The sequence below is a fragment of the Homo sapiens genome, chromosome 3 (genome assembly GCF_000001405.40).
Source record: "Homo sapiens chromosome 3, GRCh38.p14 Primary Assembly".
Classification (NCBI taxonomy): domain Eukaryota; kingdom Metazoa; phylum Chordata; class Mammalia; order Primates; family Hominidae; genus Homo; species Homo sapiens.
In genome coordinates, this window is record NC_000003.12 from 182,876,106 (window position 1) to 182,898,066 (window position 21,961).

The 21,961-nt window shown below is 35.4% G+C and overlaps 1 protein-coding gene across 6 annotated transcripts in view; it reads left to right on the top strand.

The window, feature by feature from the left end:
- ATP11B (ATPase phospholipid transporting 11B (putative)) overlaps positions 1-21,961 on the top strand; it is a 128,126-nt gene that overhangs the window by 82,602 nt on the left and 23,563 nt on the right. For all 6 annotated transcript variants that reach the window (XM_047447784.1, NM_014616.3, XM_011512593.3 and 3 more), the window contains 8 exons: positions 3,391-3,544; positions 4,774-4,876; positions 8,648-8,793; positions 9,846-9,905; positions 11,481-11,608; positions 13,305-13,443; positions 20,595-20,660; positions 21,198-21,301. In XM_047447784.1, the coding sequence (XP_047303740.1) occupies positions 3,391-3,544; positions 4,774-4,876; positions 8,648-8,793; positions 9,846-9,905; positions 11,481-11,608; positions 13,305-13,443; positions 20,595-20,660; positions 21,198-21,301 (900 nt within the window). The remainder of the gene's footprint in view (positions 1-3,390; positions 3,545-4,773; positions 4,877-8,647; positions 8,794-9,845; positions 9,906-11,480; positions 11,609-13,304; positions 13,444-20,594; positions 20,661-21,197; positions 21,302-21,961) is intronic.

The window sequence follows — 21,961 nt, forward strand, 5'->3', positions numbered from 1 at the left end:
GGGGGTGTGTACCTGTAGTCCCAGTTACTCCGAAAGCTGAGACAAGAGGATCACTTGAGCCCAGAAGTTCAAGGCTACAGTGAACTGTGCTCTTGCCTAAAAAATAAAAATAATTTTAAAAAATATTTTTCTGATTATAAAAATAATAAATGTCTACTTGAAAAATACTGAAAATTGTAAAGCTTATGCAGTGGTTAATAACAAAGTCATCAGAAGATTATTATTTGTAATTTAGGCTATTTTCTTTAAGTCTTCTGTATATAGGTGGTTTTAATGAATATGCTAATCATTAGTATTTGTTTTCTTTTCTGTACAAAAGCTGTATTATAAAACGTAGAGTACACTCTTAAAGTGAATTTTAGGCTTGCCGTCTTAGTCTGTTTGTGCTGCTGTAACAAAATACCTGAGACTAGGTAATTTATAAAGAACAGAAATTTATTTTTCACAATTCTGGAGGCTGGGAAGTTGAAGATCAAGGCACCAGCAAGTTGTATAGTGAGGGCTGCTCCCTGTTCCAAAATGGTGCCTTATTGCTGCATCCTTCTGAAGGGAGGATTACTGTGTCCACACATGGTGGAAGGGACGAAAGGCAAGAGAGGGCAAATCTCTGAAGCCTCTTTTATCAGAGCATTAATCCATTCATGAAGGCAAAGCCATTATGACTTAATCACTTCCGAAAAGGCCCCACTTCATAACAATGGGGGTTAACTTTCCACATTAATTTTGGAAGGGATTCGACATTCAAACCATAGCACTTTCTATGTGAAATTTATGTTATATTTTAGAGGTATCTTTTGATGGAATATATTTTATGAGATAACCATAGAAGTCAATAGGCCCATTCATTCACAGACTTTCAGGAAGTATCCTAAATCTTGATAAAAATCTGTCGCACAAAGAATTTCATGCCTTTGAAAGCTTTAGTATATATATCCATTCCTTCACAAAGATATATTGTCACCTGTCTAGGCATTTGGAACAGAGACATAAGGTGTGTTGTTTATGCCTTGGATACTTGGTGTAGGGAAAACAGAAAAGTAAATACACTGTCATAGTCCTATCCCTACAGAACTGTATCTGAGGCAAGAACAGAAGCTCTGGAAGGACAGAAGAGAGAAGCCTAGCCTAGACCAGGGGTACCAGGGAGAGCTCTGAACAACCAATGACTGTGTTGCCTCCTGTGGGGCGAAATGTTCACTGGACAGAGAGTGACACTAAGAAGCAAACGGGAGGCTGGGCACAGTGGCTCATAATCCTGACTTACAGGCACAGTGGCCAATAATCCCAGCACTTTGGGAGGCCAAGGAAGGCAGATCACTTGAGTCTAGAAGTTCAAGACCAGCCTGGGCAACATAGTGAAACCCCGTCTCTACAAACAATACAAAAATTAGACGTGTGTGGTGACACATACCTGCAGTCCCAGCGTCTTGGGAGGCTGAGGTGGGAGGATGTATTGAATCAGGGAGGTTAAGGCTGTGGTGAGTTGTGATCACACCACTGCACTCCAGCCTGGGTGACAGAGTGAGTTGCTGTGTCAGAAAAATAAAGGCAGCAAAGGGGGCAGTGCGTGCAGATTCCCAGAGCTGAGAGAGAGGAGGGCATATTCAAGGAAATAATTATAAAGTATGGCCAGGGAGTGGTATAGATGGGACAGGGTATGAAGAGTAGTGATGCATGAGGGCTACAGAGATGAGTAAATGCTACCTACGTGCCAGAGATGTAGGTGCTTTTCCATATTTCTTAAATATTATCCCATGGATTGTAAGATCATAATGTGATTCATGAAGCCTGTCCAGAGGAAAACCTAATTTCATGTGCCTTGGGAACTTTTCCTAGGAAAACTGATCTGCTCTGTCCCACTCTTGACTGCTAGCATTTCTGAGGCCTGTTCCTCAGGTAGTGCTTTGGACAGGCTGAAGACATTGGAGGCAGCACAAGTTGCCAAATAAAGTTTGGCCAATAGGGAAGAAAAATTGTCTATATAGGTGTTGATTTCAGATATTGGAGAGTTAGTAGTAATGAGAAAAATACATTTTATAAAACTTTATGGTATAAAGTGAATTGCTTACCACTTATAGCTACAGTACAACACAACAGTGATTAGGCATACTATGAAAGACATTGCTTTAACTTACGAAAGTTTCTTATAAGACTAAAATCTATCAATATATGTTTAGCTTTTATAGTGTGCTCATTTAATAGTCTTCTCACTTCTTATTTTTAAGTGGAGGGATAGTTCTCAGCAGAGTCTGATATTCTGTGAACCTTCGGTATTTTCTTGTGGTGTATATAGCACAGTGCTACACTGAGTACTGGCTTTCAGCAACATAAAGGAGCTTACATCAAAATGTAAATCTAGGTATACTTCCTTCATCAAGAAAGTATTATTACCAAAGGAGAATTGTGGGGGGAAGCAGTTTAATAAAATAGTGTGCTTAGTGATTTTGTTGATTTACATTCTGGTGTAGGCTCCTTATCTCTTCCTGGCAACAAATAGTTTGCCCACTTTCCAGCAGTGAGACTGTACTTGGAGTAGCACCTACGTAGCATATGCCCACATGTGAGGTGTTATCCATGTTCTACCATAGTAATATCTGGCATTACAATCCATCATCGGTTTCCTATTGCAAGACAGTGCTGTTCCTTCATTCTTTTCCTTGCTTGTTATGCATATCGTGAATCTTGCTCATGGGTTTTCCTGAACATCTTGATTTCATAGAGTTTTTTTTTAATTAGGATTTGCTGAATGTTTAAATAATGTTTCGATTTTTGTAAGACTTTTCATCTAATTTGGGAGAATATCCTCAGATTATGTATTACAATTCACATTTTAGAAAATATAATTACTGTATCTATATATCAGTTCATTGTAAAATTGAATATTAGGCTGGGCACAGCGGCTCACACCTGTAATCCCAGCACTTTGAGAGGCTGAGACAGGCAGATCGCTTGAGGTCAGGAGTTTGAGACCAGCCTGGGCAACATAGTGAAACCCCATCTCTACTAAAATAACAAAAATTAGCCAATCATAGTGGCTCATGCCTATAGTCCAAGATAGGAAGCTGAAGCAAGAGAATCACTTAAGCCCAGGAGGTCAAGGCTGCAGTGAGCCACTATACTCCAGCCTGGGTGACAGAGCAAGACCCTGTTTCACAAAAAAGAGAAAGAAAGAAAAATTGAATATTATCTGTTTTACTCATCAGTGACTCAATTCTGCTTAATTTTAAATTTAAGGTAGTAAAACAGTTTGTTTCCTGACATAACAGTCTTGTAACAGTAAGGGCTGTGGGTAAAAGATCCATCTTTCAGTAAGAATGTGTTGTTCTATATGAGTGTAAATAATATGGCTTCAAAGTATCTTACAGAGAATATAATTATTTTCTCTTTTAGAATTACAGAGGATCATGTGATTCAGCATGGGCTGGTAGTGGATGGGACCAGCCTATCTCTTGCACTCAGGGAGCATGAAAAACTATTTATGGAAGTTTGCAGAAATTGTTCAGCTGTATTATGCTGTCGTATGGCTCCACTGCAGAAAGCAAAAGTATGTATATATGTTATAAAAAAGTCCCATAAAGCTATTTAGATATAAACATATTATTTAAAGTTAATGCCTTACATAGTTCCATTTGGTGATGTGCAATATATACATTTTGCTAGGAGTCAGTCACATCTCATGTTGTAAATTTTAATCATGTACATCAGACTTTTGGAATTCTCAGAGTGAGTTTCAACTATTCATAGTGACCCAGAAAACCTGTGATGAGTAGCAGTTTGTGATCTTGCAGAAATTAAACTGTGATAACTAATGTTTCGCAAGTTAGCTACTTAGCGAGTGAAGGAGCCTAGGAGACATCAATTATTTGCACCTTCAGATGGTTCTGTTGATCTCCGTTTATTCTTGCATTCTCATGAAGTGATAATTCTTTGTTACTTTTAGCTATAAAGTGATAAATAGAGCTTTAGTATAAAAAGTTGAAAAGCCAATTAACTTGTAAAGCTTATATATAGGAAATATTTAAATTTCAGCTACCTATGTGATTCAAGTGAAAGCCTATATAAACATTTTTTATAATTCTAAATTTGGAATTTGAGATCTTAGACTGTTTTTCACAAATATCCTTTGCAGTGCACATCTAAATACTGATTATTTCCCATATAGGTCTAATAAATTAAACGTCTAAGTTTTTGGGCTTCCTGGAATTTTGTTACAGTACTGATACTATGACAATTCATGTACCCCAGTCTATGGAGACTAAAACTGGAGACCAAACAGAGCAAATACCCAGGTTCTTTATAAAAGTACATTCAAGAATTCCAAAGAAATATTTCTTTTGAGTTCATTGAATTTAATCTTGATTGATTTTTTTAAAGTCTTAAAATTTTACTACAAGAGGAAACAATTATTTCTTTCATATCAAATGAAAAAATAATTTCTTAAGAAAAAATTTTGCCTAACAGTTCAATTAAGTAGTCATTTTTTACACAATTACTATTAAACCTTCTAAATATTTAAGCTATATTTAAAAGATTCTTGTTTCTCATCATAAAATCCAAAGATAATTCTCTGTTTTATTATAACATTTCTGAAAGACATCTCTAAAATCTTAATGGAGATACCCTCAAAAAAATGAACCTGCATATTATTGTCTAATAAAAAATTAAATATTTCTTTCATTAGTGTTCTTACTATAGTCATTTCAGATAAATGACTATATGAATGCAAGAAAATTGAACTTGCGTCATAAATAACCAATTCATTATGTCTTTCAGGTAATAAGACTAATAAAAATATCACCTGAGAAACCTATAACATTGGCTGTTGGTGATGGTGCTAATGACGTAAGCATGATACAAGAAGCCCATGTTGGCATAGGTGATTGATTCTTCCTGAAAAGTTTTTCCTGAACTTTTAAAGTTGGTGGTATTATTTGGTGGTTTTTAATTTTCTTTTTGTAGATTAAAGTACAGTATCAAATTTGTGAATGAAAATTGCAACATGGTAATAATATAGCACAGTGTGCCCCATCAGAAACTTACTATAATTAGGCCGGGCGTGGTGGCTCACGCCTGTAATCCCAGCACTTTGGGGGGTTGAGGCAGGCAGATCACGAGGTCAGAAGTTCGAGACCAACCTGACCAACGTGGTGAAACCCCGTCTCTACTAAAAATACAAAAATTAGCCAGGCGTGGTGGCACGTGCCTGTAATCCCAGCTACTCAGGAGGCTGAGGCAGGAGAATTGCTTGAACCCGGGAGGCAGAGGTTGCAGTGAGCCGAGGCTGAGGCAGGAGAATTGCTTGAACCCAGGAGGCAGAGGTTGCAGTGAGCCGAGGCTGAGGCAGGAGAATTGCTTGAACCCGGGAGACAGAGGTTGCAGTGAGCCACGATCGCGCCACTGCACTCCAGCCTGGGCGACAGCAAGACTCTGTCTCAAAAAAAAAAAAAGAAACTTCCTATAATTAAGCCCACTATTTAATATATTTTCATTCCAAATTTTAGTTTCAGATTTTAAAGGAAATAAATACCACATTAGTGAATTTTATCTTTGCCGATTATTTTTCATAATAAAAGTAGCTTTATTTTTACATGTCATTTTGTACCTTTTAAAGTACTTTCACATGTTATTTTATCCTTTTTAAATTCTAAATTTGTGATTTACATAGTTGCACTGCTGGTTCTTGTTTTAGAATCTTACCGTTACTCAGTGTATTTGTGCATCTAAAGATCCTACAGCGCATTTTAAAGATCATTATAAAGACAGGAAATTGTACTAAACTGCGATAAACACAACATCTCAAGTAGTTTTCTCATTTTAATAACCTTTATCCTTATTCTTTTCTATTTTTGCCTAAAACTTTTATTAGATTCAGACTGCTAATGTCATTTCATTATATTGAATTTATTAATCCTTTCCTTTTTAGCCATATACTCTTATTGTATAAATACAGAGCAAAATGAAAAGTGTGGGCATAGGATTTTTTATGGAAGGATAAAATTTGAGAGTTAAGCTAATTCCTGTTCTGGAATAGTCTCTATAATGTGCTGGATGGGAAGTTATCAGGTCTGATATTTTCTGTGTGCCTCTTAGATCAACTCCTTCCTCTTTCAGATAATTAATTCTTCATTTTGAAAACTTAATTCTCCTTCTAGTTTGTATACCGTTATTTTCCATAAATTTTCATAGCAATTTGATGATAACTTCCTATACCATACATTTAAGGCTATAAAAAAAATTACAGTATTTAAAACAGTTTAATTCTGTAATGATAACAGGCAGACCAGTGACTAGAATACATTCAAGCATCTGGAAATTTAGAATATAACAAAGGAGATATTTCAAATAAGTAGGAAAACAAATTATTTAGTAGAAAAAAAATGGATAAAACTGGTTAGTGATTTGAAAAAAAAAAGAGAAGTTGAGTCTCTTTCTATTATTTGTAACAAAACAAATTCAAGATGGATTAGGATTTAAGTAACTTATAAAGACCCTAAAAAGTAATAGAAGAAAATTTAATGAATAATTCTGTTATTTGCGGTATGGAAGAATCTTTTGAGGACAACACCAAAGCAAGGAACTATAGTTAATTATAGGGAAAAGATCATGCAGAGGTAAAAGCTCCCAAAACAAATTTTAAAAACAAAGGACAAACTAGTAAAGAATATTTGTAAAATAGATGACAAAGTTGTAATAATCCTGGTATACAAAGTATTAACAAATTAATGAGAATAAGAAAAACGTTCCAGTAGAAATAATATGGAAGGATGTGAGCAATCGATTGTTATGAAAGGAGAAATCTAAAAAGAATACTAAATGTATGAAAAAAATGTTTAGTCTCTCTAACATTCCAAGGAATGGAAGTTAAAATTGCCTGTCAGATTGGCATCCATTATAAACACTGATAAACCTGGAGTTGGTAAATGTATAGATTAACAAATGATCTTATACAATGTTAGTAGGAGCATAAATTGGTATACCCTGCATTATTACTCCAAACAAAATTTTAAAGTATGCCTATTGACATTGCAATTATGAATGCAGGAATTTCTTCTAGTAAAAAAAATTGAGCATGTTGATAAAGATGTACATTACAAGTATACATTTGAAGCAGTGTCCATAATCTGTTAAGCAACAAAAGCAAGTTGTAAAACAATCCTTTTTTTTTTTTTGATATAGAGCTTCACTCTTGTTTGCCAGGCTGGAGTGCAATGGCTCAATCTCGGCTCACGGCAACCTCCGTCTCCTGGGTTCAAGCGATTCTCCTACCTCAGCCTCCCAAGTAGCTGGGATTACAGGCACCCACCACCATGCCCAACTAATTTTTGTATTTTTAGTAGAGATGGGTTTTCACCATTTTGGCCAGGCTTGTCTCGAACTCCTGACCTCAGGTAATCCACCTGCCTTGGCCTCCCAAAGTGCTAGGACTACAGGCGTGAGCCACCACACCCAGCCTGAGCCACCGTGCCCAGCCTGAGCCACATTTTTATACGTGTTTTTGTATGTATGAAATACTTACACACACAGACATGAAATAAGCAGAAAGAAAATTTCTAAAAGAATGCAGACTAGGCCGGGCGCGGTGGCTCACGCCTGTAATCCCAGCACTTTGGGAGGCCGAGGCGGGCGGATCACGAGGTCAGGAGATCGAGACCATCCCGGCTAAAACGGTGAAACCCCGTCTCTACTAAAAATACAAAAAATTAGCCGGGCGTAGTGGCGGGCGCCTGTAGTCCCAGCTACTTGGGAGGCTGAGGCAGGAGAATGGCGTGAACCTGGGAGGCGGAGCTTGCAGTGAGCCGAGATCCCGCCACTGCACTCCAGCCTGGGCGACAGAGCGAGACTCCGTCTCAAAAAAAAAAAAAAAAAAAAAGAATGCAGACTAAAAACAGCAGTTTTCTCTAGGGATTATGAATACAGGTTTTTTTCATCGCTTATACATTTTGGAACACTTTCATCCTTTTATGACAAAGTTTTAGTTTTGAAAAATAATTTTTTTAAGTTGCTTCTAGATTGAAAATAAAAACTTGGCAATGACTCTTCTTCTCTTTTGAAACCTTAAGGATTATTGTAACCATTAAAAAAGTATTCATATTTATCAGAGGAAATGTTGCACTGATTTCAAATGATATTGCTTATTTTTAAAAATTTATTTATTTTAAATTCATATTTTCCTTTTAAAAAGTGCACTTTGACTTATTCATGGAAGTGTTAAGCAAACAAATGACTCATTTTGCTAAACTCAAATGACTCAATTTGAATATTTTTTATATTCAGTGAAAATAGTGAAGTTAAGTATTTTATAGCATTCTGTCCATCAGAAGTCTGTTACCCAGTACTTGTGCTTATTAGTGTAATAATTGATGTTCCTGCTAAATCCTTAACTTTCAATATTATTTTTTATATTGTATTTTATCTTTTTATATTCTAATTCTTTGGAAATTGGTGTTATGTGTCTGATAAATATCGTAGCCTTATATTAATTACATATTTAAGTAGAACAACCTTTTGGACATCTGCTATCTGCTGTATATTAGGATTTAATGTTCCTAAGTGCATGTTCAACTATTATAAATAATTAAGATATTTGCAGATTTATCATGAAAATTACAGTTATCAGTGAACATGTCTTTTGTCCCTTTTATTATAGGAATCATGGGTAAAGAAGGAAGACAGGCTGCAAGAAACAGTGACTATGCAATAGCCAGATTTAAGTTCCTCTCCAAATTGCTTTTTGTTCATGGTCATTTTTATTATATTAGAATAGCTACCCTTGTACAGTATTTTTTTTATAAGGTGAGTTTCATGTATTTAGAATCAATTATTGATATAGTAATATGAAGTTTCAATTTAAGGAATGTTATAACCTTATACATTTCTCTTTAAAATAGTTTCAATAAGTAAAAATAACAGTATTTTGTCATAAATCTATTCTATACTGACAGAAAGCAAATCAGTGGTTGCCTGGGGCCCAGGGGTTCCATGCAAATTAGAACATAGTACATTTGATATCTTTAAAGTTATTTTGTCCTGAACCAGCAATAAGTTTTAACACCAATATAATGGTTTTAAGTAGAGTTCTTAGCCTTTTTATGCCATGAATGACCTTTTAGTAGTCTAGTGAAATGTGTGAGCTCCTCAATATGGAGCTTTTATATGCATAAAATGAAATACATAGGGTTACAAAGAAACAAATTATGTTGAAATATTGTCCTATCTTTGGGTCCTTTGGTACAAGGTGGGAGTTTGCAGAACCCACATTAAGAGCCCCTGTTACCAATACATTTAATAACACCAGAGTGTACTATGTTGCATATATTTCTATAATTGATAACTACAATCCAGTGATAGAACACAAGTAGATTGCATATTGCTATAAGATGATGGCAGTTTTTTTCTAACTTATTTTTCTAGCTTTTACTTGTAATATGAGTATATTGAGATGGAAAGAAGTTTCGATAGTTTGATTTATTGTGTGTTTTAAACATTTTTGTGTTGTAAAGATATAGCCCTAAAGTTTGAGTAAATCTTACTTATTGTACTATATATGAAAAGTATTGAGTAATAGTTTGAAGGTTGTAAATTCAAAATTATAGTGTTGCTTGGCAGTGAGAGGAGTCAAGGGTTTTTTCATTCTGATGTCTGCACTGTTGCTTAGAATGTTTTTAGACATTTTTTGATAAAATGGGAATCCTGCATTCCTGTTATATATGGACAAGTCCTTATCCTTTACTTACCATACCAACTGAGATTGTTTTTGGACACTTTAACAGCCATTTTTTTTATTTTTTATTTTGTCTTTGAAACCTAAATATTTTAATTATTTTCCATTTAATCTTGTTTTTCAGAATGTGTGCTTTATCACACCCCAGTTTTTATATCAGTTCTACTGTTTGTTTTCTCAGCAAGTAAGTAAATAGAAACTTGTGTTTTGTGTTTTGTCCTTTTAGAGTAACGTATGTATGTTCAGATTTTGATAGACGTTTGAAGGGACTTTTTTCATTTTTCTTAGTCCTGCAGGGAACCAGACAGAACTTTTCTGTTTAGTATATTTAACCAGCATGACATTCAGAATATTTATTTATTCTGGTTTTCAGTTTGAGGTGAGTGTTAATACCAAAATGTAATTCTGGATGCTTTTAAAAATAGATAATAACCCTTAACAGCTTATGAGAGAATTTTGATAACTTATTTGTGATATTTCTGTAAAATCCAAATCAAGCCAGGCCAGATAACTTGGAGGTTCACCTCATTTTTATTTTTGATTCGAAATGTCTTAGGTTTGGAAGGAGCAGTAGTGATTTAGTCCAGGGATGGCATATAGGTTTTATCTCAGAAGCTACCTTTAAATAATTGATGGGGCACCTAGAGTATATTGAAAAGGTTTCTAAAGCTGCAGGCTCAGAGGGAAAATGTAATTTGTTAGCAATAGTTGTAATGGGCACAAGGTGGGTCTTTGTTTGCATGCATGTCACATATTTACCAGTCCTGATCTACTTTGTTTTAATTTCTAGAAAAGAAAAATGAAATCCACATAAATTAAGTAACTTGCCTTGCTAACTTAATGACTAAACCATAACTTTGACCTACTGCTTCTGACTAATGTGGCAGGCACCCTTTTTACATACCATACTATACATCTCAAATTGATCAAGACACTAGTTCTAATTTATTGAAAAAACAAGAGCTTAATTATCTTAACTTTTTCATGAGTTTTTCCTATTCTTAATTGCTGTTTTATCCTGTTTACAACCTGTAACTCTAAATTCCAAATATTTGCTTGGGCATTGATTACCGATAAAAGTTTGTTTACCTAAATGAACTAAAGAATATGCTAAGACAATACGACAAGGAAAACTGACCTATTTTGATTAGGTTTTCTGGAGAGTTTATAGTGTAATTTGGGAGGCAGTATTAATAACAATAAAAACAATATGTAAAGCATAGGCAAAGTGCTAAGTGATTAGTACCAACAGTGGTACCTGTGACTGTTTAGAGGAGCAAGATATCGTTAAGGACTTAAGCCATTGTGCAGAGTTTCATGGAAGAAGATAGTCTTGTTCAGTGCCTTAAAGGAAGTGTAGTGTGTAGACAGGGAGACAAAGCCATGAAAGGTAAACTGTATGTGTTGCATGTGGAAGGAGTAGTAAGATGCCTGGAATACATGGAGGAGAATTATGTAAAATTACTTCACAGTGATCAAATTGTGGAGAACCTTGAAATGTTGATCTAACTCACGATAATTCCAGAAGCACCTGATATAGCAAAATATTCCAGTTCTCACAAAGAATATCAACCTAGGAACATTATATGTTTATGTCAGTATTAAAAACAAATTAGAATTATTTAATTGGAGTTACTAAAATGGATTTCAGTATAAATTTTTAAAACTTTAATTTTGTTTTTAATATGCATAGTTGTCATATGCATAATAGTAATGCATAATTCAGAAACTCAACATTCCTACCAATTTCTCTTTCTAGACATTGTATGACAGCGTGTACCTGACTTTATACAATATTTGTTTTACTTCCCTACCTATTCTGATATATAGTCTTTTGGAACAGCATGTAGACCCTCATGTGTTACAAAATAAGCCCACCCTTTATCGGTAAGTATTTTCTGGTATTAAATGGCCTTATCAGTTTTTTTAAGTAAAAAATAAGCAGATTTATTTATGTCTTGGTGATTAATGCTTTACTAAGGAAAGTTCTTTAGTTGTCGTATGATTTACAGTTGTTGAATATCAGAGAAAAAAAGGTTTCTTTCAAAGAGAAAATTGGAATAATTTTTCCGGTGTTTTTTTAAGAATGAGCACTTTCATCCTGGGAATGCACTGGGCAGTTGTGTAATTTGCACTTACTCTCGCAAACCAGTAATATTCTATTTCGTGTGCACAAAAGAAGTTATTCATAATTGGTAGTCTCTAGAATTCCTAAAAGTTTTTTTCTACTATTAGCGAAATTTATGAGTAATAATTAGTGCAAAATCCAGAGGTGAGGACATTAATTCCCACCCCAGATTCTCTGCTTTATTCCTGCTTCCCCAGAACCAAGTAATCACAGAGATGTGATTGGGACCTGTTCCTCAGGACCAGCTATGGTATTCACCATAAGCTCTTATAGAGATAGCTATTGAAGTACCACTTATAGAGTCATCTCATTATCTAAATTTGGATTAATTTACTTCAATTCCTCAGGTTATCTAGGACAGGGCTTGACCTAAGATTGGCATAGATTGTTCTTCCCATAATAGCTATTATTAGAAGGGAAGTTAGGAGCATCAGTGCTGAACCTAACTCAGATAACCTCACTAAAAAGAGACCATTATGGCAGAGTGACTGAATGTTAACAGAAGAATATAATAACAGATAAATCAACTTTTCAAAATTAAAGTGAAGTATTATGCCTATGTCATATTTCTTTTTTTCTTTTTTGAGACAGGATCTTGCTCTGTCACCCAGGCTGGAGTGCAGTAGCAAGATCGTAGCTCACTGCAGCCTCAATCTCCCAGGTTCAAGCAATCTTCCCGTCTTAACATCTGGAGTAACTGGGATTACAGGCACACACCACCATGCCTCACTAATTTTTTAAACTTTTTATTTATTTATTTATTTATTTATTTTAGTAGAGACAAGGTTTTGCCATGTTGCCCTGGCTGGCTTCAAACTCCTAGTCTCAGGTGATCCTCCTGCATTGGCCTCCCAAAGTGTTGGGATTACAGGCATGAGCCACCATGCCCAGCCTATCATATTTCTTTTTTTTTTTTTTTTTTCCTTTTGAGAGAGAGTCTCAGTCTGTCGTTAGGCTGAGTGCAGTGGCGTGATCTTAGCTCACTGCAACCTCTGCCTCCTGGGTTAAAGTGAGTCTCCTGCCTCAGCCTCCCAAGTAGCTGAGACTACAGGCGCGTGCCAACATGCCCAGCTAATTTTTATATTTTTAGTAGAGACAGGATTTCACCATGTTGGCCAGGATGGTCTTGATCTCTTAACCTTGTGATCCGCCCACCTTGGCCTCCCAAAGTGCTGGGATTACAGGCTTAAGCCATCGCACCCAGTCTTCCTATTTCTTTATCAAATGAAGAAATATGTTTGAATGTAGTATGTGAACTATAAGCTATTAAACAGATGTATGATATTATAAGCAGTGGTTTATAAATTTGGATTTATTTATTCTTTGTGCTAATATTTTCAAGCAATTTTAAATTAAAAATCTATCTTGTTTTTTAATTATCATATTATATTAATTGTTTAGTGGGCAAATAATAAATGATCCCTAATATGTTTCTTTTTCTCTTCTTTTTAACAGAGACATTAGTAAAAACCGCCTCTTAAGTATTAAAACATTTCTTTATTGGACCATCCTGGGCTTCAGTCATGCCTTTATTTTCTTTTTTGGATCCTATTTACTAATAGGGAAAGATACATCTCTGCTTGGAAATGGCCAGGTAAAGTATATAGTTTTTTTAAAGAATGCTTGTTAATATTTTATGGGTTTTTTATAGCTTTTGTCATAAAGTAAAATTTAATTTAAATTACAGAACTTCAAGTATTAAAATGCAAATATAAAAAGGTTTAAATTTTGTGGTTAAATAATAAAGTTTCATACAAGTGAAAATTGACAGGCAATACAGTGTAATCTCGAAATGAAACTCAAGTTACTAGACAGTTTTGCTATTCAAAAATTAGCTCACACAGGGGATATGTTATTGCCCCTGCATGCTCTTCACCTTAGTATTGTGTTTTATTGATAGCTGCCATTTATCTGGTACTTACTTTTGTGCTAAGTACTTTAATATGCCCCATCTCCATTAGTCCTCCCAATAATCTTATTAGAGAGGTATTATTACTCCCATTTTTCAGATGGCAAATGAGGACTTAGTGTTTGTTTGCTTTTAATTGCATTGTTGTTTGCCTAGGAAATGCTACCACATTCTTCATTGCACACTCACAATTCTAAATAGATGTCATAACTTACTGTTTAATTTGGCCACTTTTCCGAAGCATGAAATTAGGAAAGAGTGCATTTTAAACAGTACACTGTTACACTGTGTTCTGATTGGAGTGCTCATGTTGAGAGACTCTTGGCAGAGCTAGACCTCTCTTTCGGGGCTTAACTAAATGGGTTAGGAAGGAAAGAAATGACAGCAGTGGTAGGGACTCTGGTGGACTGGAAATGGTTGTCACTCTTAGTTTCCCTTTTCCATTCCCATCACTTAAGTATTGCAAAATATGTTTGGAGATACAGACATACAAATTTGCAATTGGAAGAATATAAAGTTTTATCTGCTCAACAGATCTTTATTGAAGGCCAGCTATTCCCAAGTACTATACTAGGCTCTGGTAAGTAACTTGGTCATGGAGCTTAGAATCTTGAAAAGGATACAGAAAATGAGCAAGTAAACTAATAACAAAATACACCGGTGTAATAAAGGAAATGGGTTTCAAATGTAGAGGCCTTAACCTTGCAAAATCCCTTTACCTTATAGAGTAGGGACATAAATATAATTGCCACTTCACTTTTGAGGACATATTTAGACTGATGTGGATGAAAATATGAATCTTGTAGCATAAAGGTTACAGCACTTCCCAAATAATAACTACCTTTTGTTGAGTTTGTTTCTCTATGCCTGGTACATTACATGCATTTGCTCATTAAATCATAACTCTGTATGAGAAAAATATCATTATTAATTTTCGCATGTTAGAAAATTAACCTCAGAGAGGTTAAGAAACTTGCCTAAGTTCACACAGTAAGCAAATTACAGTAATAGAATTCAGACTCAGATCTATCTGACTTTAAAACCTACATGCCTTTAGGAGATATACCTAATGTAAATGATGAGTTAATGGGTGCAGCACACCAACATGGCACATGTATACATATGTAACAAACCTGCACGTTGTGCACATGTACCCTAGAATTTAAAGTATAATAAAAAAAACCTACATGCTTAGTCATGATTCTCAATTCTTCTGAGAAACAGCTGTTAGCCTGGTGCCCTTCTGCACAGTCTTACCATCAGTGCAAGTGCCACCAAATATATAGACATATGAGTGAGTATGCTCACTTCCACCTGAAATAGTGGGGTGAAAACCGGACAGAATTAAGAGGGGAGGAGAGTTAAGAAGAAGGAAATTTGGATCTTCATCATTGGATGAAAAGGATGTTAAAGATCTTGTATTGCTAGTCACTACTTTTTTTAATTTTTAAAAGTAATATGTGCCCATTGTGATAAGTTTGAAGTTAGTAGGAAAAAGTATAAAGAAAATAAATCACATGGTGGCCCTCTACCCAGATATTATTACTTTTATTATTTTTACATACTTGTTTCAATTCTTTTTTGCTATTTTCATTAACCTCATAATTTGTATCCCCTTATTTCTTAACATTGTAGCCTAAGTGATTTTGTATGTTATTAAAAATGCTTCAAGAACATTTTTCATGATTACGTAATACTCTATTACATTGTCATAATGTAAGTATTCCCTTAATTTGAGGATTTGTTTCTAATTTTTAGTAACTTTTTAAAATAAAATCTTGAACATTCTTTATACAGAAGATAAAACCTTGAAGGATAAATTGTTATTGGCCATTAGTATAAAAGCTTTTTTCTCTTTACTGTCTATTGAAATTAATCTGCCACTCCCTACCTCCAATACTAGGTATAGTAGCAAAGCAGCACATGTTAGAATCAGAATTGGATTCATACCCTGGCATCTGTAGTCATCGTTTGAGTGATTTGGGATGAGTTAACCTCTCTCAGACTCAGTTTTCTCACCTGTGAAAAGGCACATAATCCCCACCTTATAGGTTTGATGTGAGGATTAAATGACATATTATTTGTAGAGCATTAAGCATAGTGGCTAGCATATAGAAGTATTCACTACGTCTTAGCAGTGTTCATTGTTATTTTTACTATTAAGTCATTATATTGGAAGATCATGTCCTACTCAATCCCACCCGGTCTAATTCTCCCAGAAACTCTCTCTTAACTGTGAAAATCACCTTGCTGGCTCTCAGAATGTGCCATGCTAATCTCTAATTCTAAAACATTGCTTATGTTCCCTCTCTAGAATGCTCATGCTTCCCTTTCCCCAAGATTCCCTCACCACCACCTATTCTTCGCAGTTGAGCCCACAGACGCCTTTCCTGTTGGTCCAGCTCCCTCTTATGTGTCCCTGTGCTAAAAATCCTTTTAGACATCTGTCTAGGCCGCGTCTCATTGCTTAGCACTGAGTTTGTTGAATGCTTCCTGTTTTCTAAATATTGTTATTGCATGCCCAAGTTATCAGTAAACAATTGAGGGCCTAGAGCAGAAAAAGTTACTAGAGGGAAGTGCTGAGAGGAGTGACTGGAGGCAAAGATGAAGTCATTGCAAACCAAGTGATCCTGGGAGAGGAGCAGGAGGAAGACTTGTAATAGTTTGGGTTTAAGGGTAGAACAATTCAGGGAAAGTTAAGACTTTATCCCTTTTTTTTTGTATTAGGGTCTAGCAATTTTATGTTAATTAATTTTCAACAAATACTTTTGAAGTATTCACTAATTCTTTCAGTTTAGCTTAGGAAAGAACTAGTCATTCTTCATGTATTTATCTCAAATCTTTTTAACAGGCCTTTCTTTCTCTTAGTAAAGTATAAGTCTTGATCAATTTTCTCTAAGATTTGGAAAGACTGGAAGAATGTGTATGACCTGCCTGAGTTCCTGTCATGTGTGTCTCTAAAACTGCTTTTCCATGGGTACATCTTTACCTTCAGAGCACTATACAAAAGATATTCCTTTACTATTACTCCTTAATGAGTTGCCAGAGAGCAAAAATAATGTTAATGAGAAGGCTGAACTAGTGACTAATTTTTAACTTTGTTTTTTTCCTAAATAGTAGAAGAGTTAATCTCTCACATAAAATTTGCCTAGCCCTTATCCAGTCTTAAAGTAGTCACAGTATTTGAATCTAAGTATTAGTTAAAAAGTAGGGCTTGTCTTAATAATACAGTAGTATTGTCTTACCATGGACATTTGTCAAGAAGTCATAGATTAGTAATTCACTGAATATGTTGTTTGAGTAATCTTTTTATTTTTTAAAGTTAAAAATAAGCTTAAGACTTTATTTTCTTGTTTAGTTTTTTTATTATTTACTTTTTTTTTACATGAATAAGTTCTTCAGTGGTGATTTCTGAGATTTTGGTGCACCCAAGCAGTGTACATTGTACCCAATGTGTAGTCTTTTATTCCTCACCCCCTCCCACCCTTTTCCCTGAGCCCCAAAAGTTCATTGTCTCATTCATATGCCTTTGCGTCCCCATAGCTTAGCTTCCACTTATGAGTGAGAACATAAGATGTTTGGTTTTCTATTCCTGAGTTACTTCACTTACAATAATGGTCTCCAATTCCATCCAGTTTCCTGTGAATGCCATGATTTCATTCCTTTTTATGGCTGAGTTGTATTCCATGGTATATATGTATACCACATTTTCTTTATCCACTCATTAATCGATGGCCATTTGGGCTGGTTCCCTATTTTTGCAATTGCAAATTGTGCTGCTATAAACATGGGTGTGCAAGTATCTTTTTTGTATAATGACTTCTTTTCCTCTGGGTAGATAGAAGGAGTGGGATTGCTGGATCAAATGGTAGTCCTACTTTCAGTTCTTTAAGGAATCTCCACACTGTTTTCCATTTTGGTTATACTAGTTTATATTCCCACCAACAGTGTAAAAGTGTTCCCTTTTCACCACATGCATGCCAACATCTATTTTTTTATGTTTTTATTCTGACCATTCTTGTAGGAGTAAGGTGGTATCACATTGTGGTTTTGATATGGATTTCCCAGGTAGTGATGTTGAGTATTTTCTCATGTTCATTGGTCATTTGTATATCTTCTTTTGAGAATTGCCTATTCATGTCCTTAGGCCACTTTTTGATGAGATTATCTTTTTCTTGCTGATCCGTTTGAGTTGCTTGTAGATTCTGGATATTAGTCCTTTGTCAGAAGTGTAGATTGCGAAGATTTTCTCCCACTCTGTGCTTGTCTGTTTACTCTACTGATTATTTCTTCTGCAGTGCAGAAGCTTTTTGGTTAATTAAGTCCCATCTATTGATCTTTGTTTTTGTGAGCTTAATACTTTATTTCTGTAATCTGACAGGGTCAACTTTTTTGTAGTTGCTTTTAAACAGAGCTTCATAGAAGCAATTCTCCTGCCTCAGCCTCCCCAGTAGCTGGGATTACAGGCATGGGCCACCACGCCAGGCTAATTTTGTATTTTTAGTAGAGACAGGGTTTCTCTATGTTGGTAAGGCTGGTCACGAACTCCCAACCTCAGGTGATCCGCCTGCCTCGGCCTCCCAAAGTGCTGGAATTACAGGTGTGAGCCACCGCACCCAGCCTGTAAGCTCATCTTCAGCCAGATCTCCAAAATGCCTTTGCCACTCACATTATCACCTACCAGCTCAAGGGCAAGTCAGAATGGAAAGAGACAGCAGTCTTAACCAGTTGATTACAGTTGAAATACATTACTTCGTATAATTTTACCCACAAAAAGCTATGTGAATGCTTTTGTATGGCTTCTTCTAGGACCTTGAATGGGGCCTATGCAAGAGGAAGCCCTAAATCCTCCTCTAAGGAAAATACCGTGTAACATACCCCAGTCTAGGCCCAGTAAAACCAGATACTGAAGGATGGACATGTCCTTACCACTTCCAGGCCCAGGTCCCCGGTTGCATCAAAGTATCTCTCCCAGCTGGGCACATGGCTCATACCTATAGTCCTAGCATGTTGGGAGGCCAAAGCAGGTGGATCACTTGAGCCCAGGAGTTCAAGATCAGCCTGGGCAACATGGTGAAAGCCCATCTCTGTAAAAAATACAAAAAAAAAAAAATTAGCTAAGTGTGGTGGCGTGTGCCTCTAGTCCCAGCTACTTGGGAGGATTGCTTGAGCCCGGGAGGTGGAGATTGCAGTGAGCCGAGATCATGCCATTGCACTCCAGCCTGGGTGACAGATGGAGACCCTGACTCAAAAAAAAAAAAAAAAAAAAAAAAGGAAAGTATCTGTGTCCATACCCATGAAAGAGGAGAATGGCACTCCTCCTGAGAGAGCTAAGTTGAGACCCACTGATCATCGGTATTTCTGGGTCATTTCTAGAGATGATAAAAGCAGACAGCAGACAGATAAGCACAGGTTCAGTATGACTTTTGATTCTCCTCTTGACAAATACATTCCCCAAATGCTCTCAAATAAAGGAATATTAATTGATGTTTCATTGTTGATAATCATAACTATTATTTACTGATTGCCTATTATATACCAGGTACCCCATTCTTTTTGTATACCCCAATTCTTATAGAAAACTGCGATTTATCCTCATTTTACAAATGAAGAAAGTGAGATATAGAGAGGTTAAGTAATTTGTTAAGTAAATGATAATTGTTAGAAATCTGTAATAAAAAACAGGCTTTTTATTAATTTTTTTGAACCAGTGTTAAGATAATGATTGTTAGGTTTGGAAGGGAAGGTGAGAGTTAAAGAAAGACACACACACAGAAAGAGGGCGGCTCAACAGCATGCAGGCTTTTTGTCTAGCATAAAACCTACAGAAGTCAGGGACCAGCCTAATGCCAGAGCCCACTGGCTGCTTACAGGCTAGGGTACTTACAGGTGTGGGCGGGAGGGGTCTGGGCAGTATGGCTCGCTGCCTGGCAGGATATTGATAAGATGTTCCCATGATGAGGCAGTTCTGACCCTTGTTCTGGCAGGATGTCTTCGTGGTGTTCCTTGGACCTTTATCCAGCAAGATACGATAGGGCTCTTTCTTTAGTGGTCAGGTGGTTAGGCAGGATGTTTCTCATGTCCCGAACCCCCGTGAAATGTTGCACTTTGACCAAGGTCTGCAAAATAGCAGGGAGCTTACAAAACGATGCAGTTTGGACTAACAATGATTACTTTGTAAACTAAATTATTAAACTTCTGGTTGTATTCTTGTAGAGATAAAATCCTGAAACTCTTTTGGGGTTCTGCGTGATTAATACCTTAGTAAGTTTTGGCTCTAAAGCCCAGGGGAAACTTTCTGACTGGCAATAACTGCATTTTTACATGGAATCCTTTGAGGAGTAATTCCATGATCCATTATCCTTCCTTTCAGATACAGGTTTTAAGTGTAAATTTCTTTTCTCCTGCTCTACTGTACTGTATCCAAAAATACCGTGGCATGTGCTCTGCTGTAACGTCTGGTTGGAAAGGTTTCTGAAAATACTTGTGATTGAAAAGGATTTTGTTACCATTTTTACTGTGCAACAGCAATAAAGCAGTCCCTAATGACTACATTATTCTAACTAAAAATAGTCTGTGCCACACCATTCTAAACCCATCTTTGGGTTCCAGTCTGATAATGATATCTAAAAGATCATTGTCTATAATAATAACACATGTAAATAATGCTTTATGCTGTTCTTCTCATACTTTTAACTTTATGAGTATAGTCACCAGTTTCAAATGTACCTGACTTAAATAATTCAAGGGATTTTTAGTAGAGAATTAAATGACTTTTTACCTGACATTTAACATTATGTTAACACGTAATGTAATAGTGTATTCTTTCTGTTTAGATGTTTGGAAACTGGACATTTGGCACTTTGGTCTTCACAGTCATGGTTATTACAGTCACAGTAAAGGTATGGTACTGAAATTAGAAATGTGGACACATTTTGCAACTGTTTACATAGTTAGTTAACTTTCTTCATTTCTTTAGCCATAGATACTTTCCCTTTTTCCATTTTCAATAACGATTAATTTCACTGGTTACTATTTTAATAGTTAAATTTTTGTCAAAAAATTATTTTTAAAGTTTATTATTTTGGGAAGCCTCAGCTGATATTTATGATCACATTTTTAAAAATCTCTAAAAATTTTGCTTCTCTGTGTATAGTGCAAGACAGCGTAATTTGTTTTAGGCCATGGAGTTGAAAATAGAGTAATCACATGAAATTTGAATGCTGTTTCCTCAAAGAAGAAAAACATTATAAACTTGAAATTATTTCATTTTATACTAGGACCTTTTCATTCATATTTATCTCTGAGGGATTTTGAGGGATTGTATCTGTCTTCTGAGAGACTTTTAGATACTTATGTTTATTCTTGAGTTTCATCTGAAAGGTTAAGGTAAAGCTTTATTTGTTTATATTTCTAAGGATATAAAAACTTTTTTTTAGATGGCTCTGGAAACTCATTTTTGGACTTGGATCAACCATCTCGTTACCTGGGGATCTATTATATTTTATTTTGTATTTTCCTTGTTTTATGGAGGGATTCTCTGGTGAGTGAATATATTGTATTTTAATTGGATTGCTTCAACTATAATAAACATTTATTGTGATAGGTTACATTATGAACATATTCTGCTCATAACAGATTTCAGACTCCTGGTAAGTTTACTTCTTCAGTTGATCTTACTGATATGGAGAGGAAAAAACTAACATTTATTGAATATCTACAATTTTTCTAGATTTTTTTTATATAAGATATTGATTCATCATAATAATGATCCCTGTTTTTTTCTGTGTAGAAACTGAGCCTCAGGATCACAAAGACAAAAAAGTACCAAAGCCAAGATTTAAACCCCAATTGTCTTATTTCACAATTTTCTTTACACTAGTTATATTATGTATTAATGTATTATGTGTTAATATATACAATAAAGTAAGTCACATAGAACCATTAAATATTAATCATTAACTTTTCTCACAAAAGTAAGTAGTATGCATCATCTTCATTGATAGAATCAGATATTCAACTGGCTACTCAGATAGATTAAAAATTAATGTTTCTCCTAAGATTCTTTGGTAAGTGATGGACAACTGAGGGCTCTCTTTTGGAGAATTTATATTACATTTGCCTGCTATGTCTTTGATCCATTTATCAGACAAAAAAAAGCTTCTGAAGGTAGGCCAAAAAAATTTGGATTAGCTAAATATTA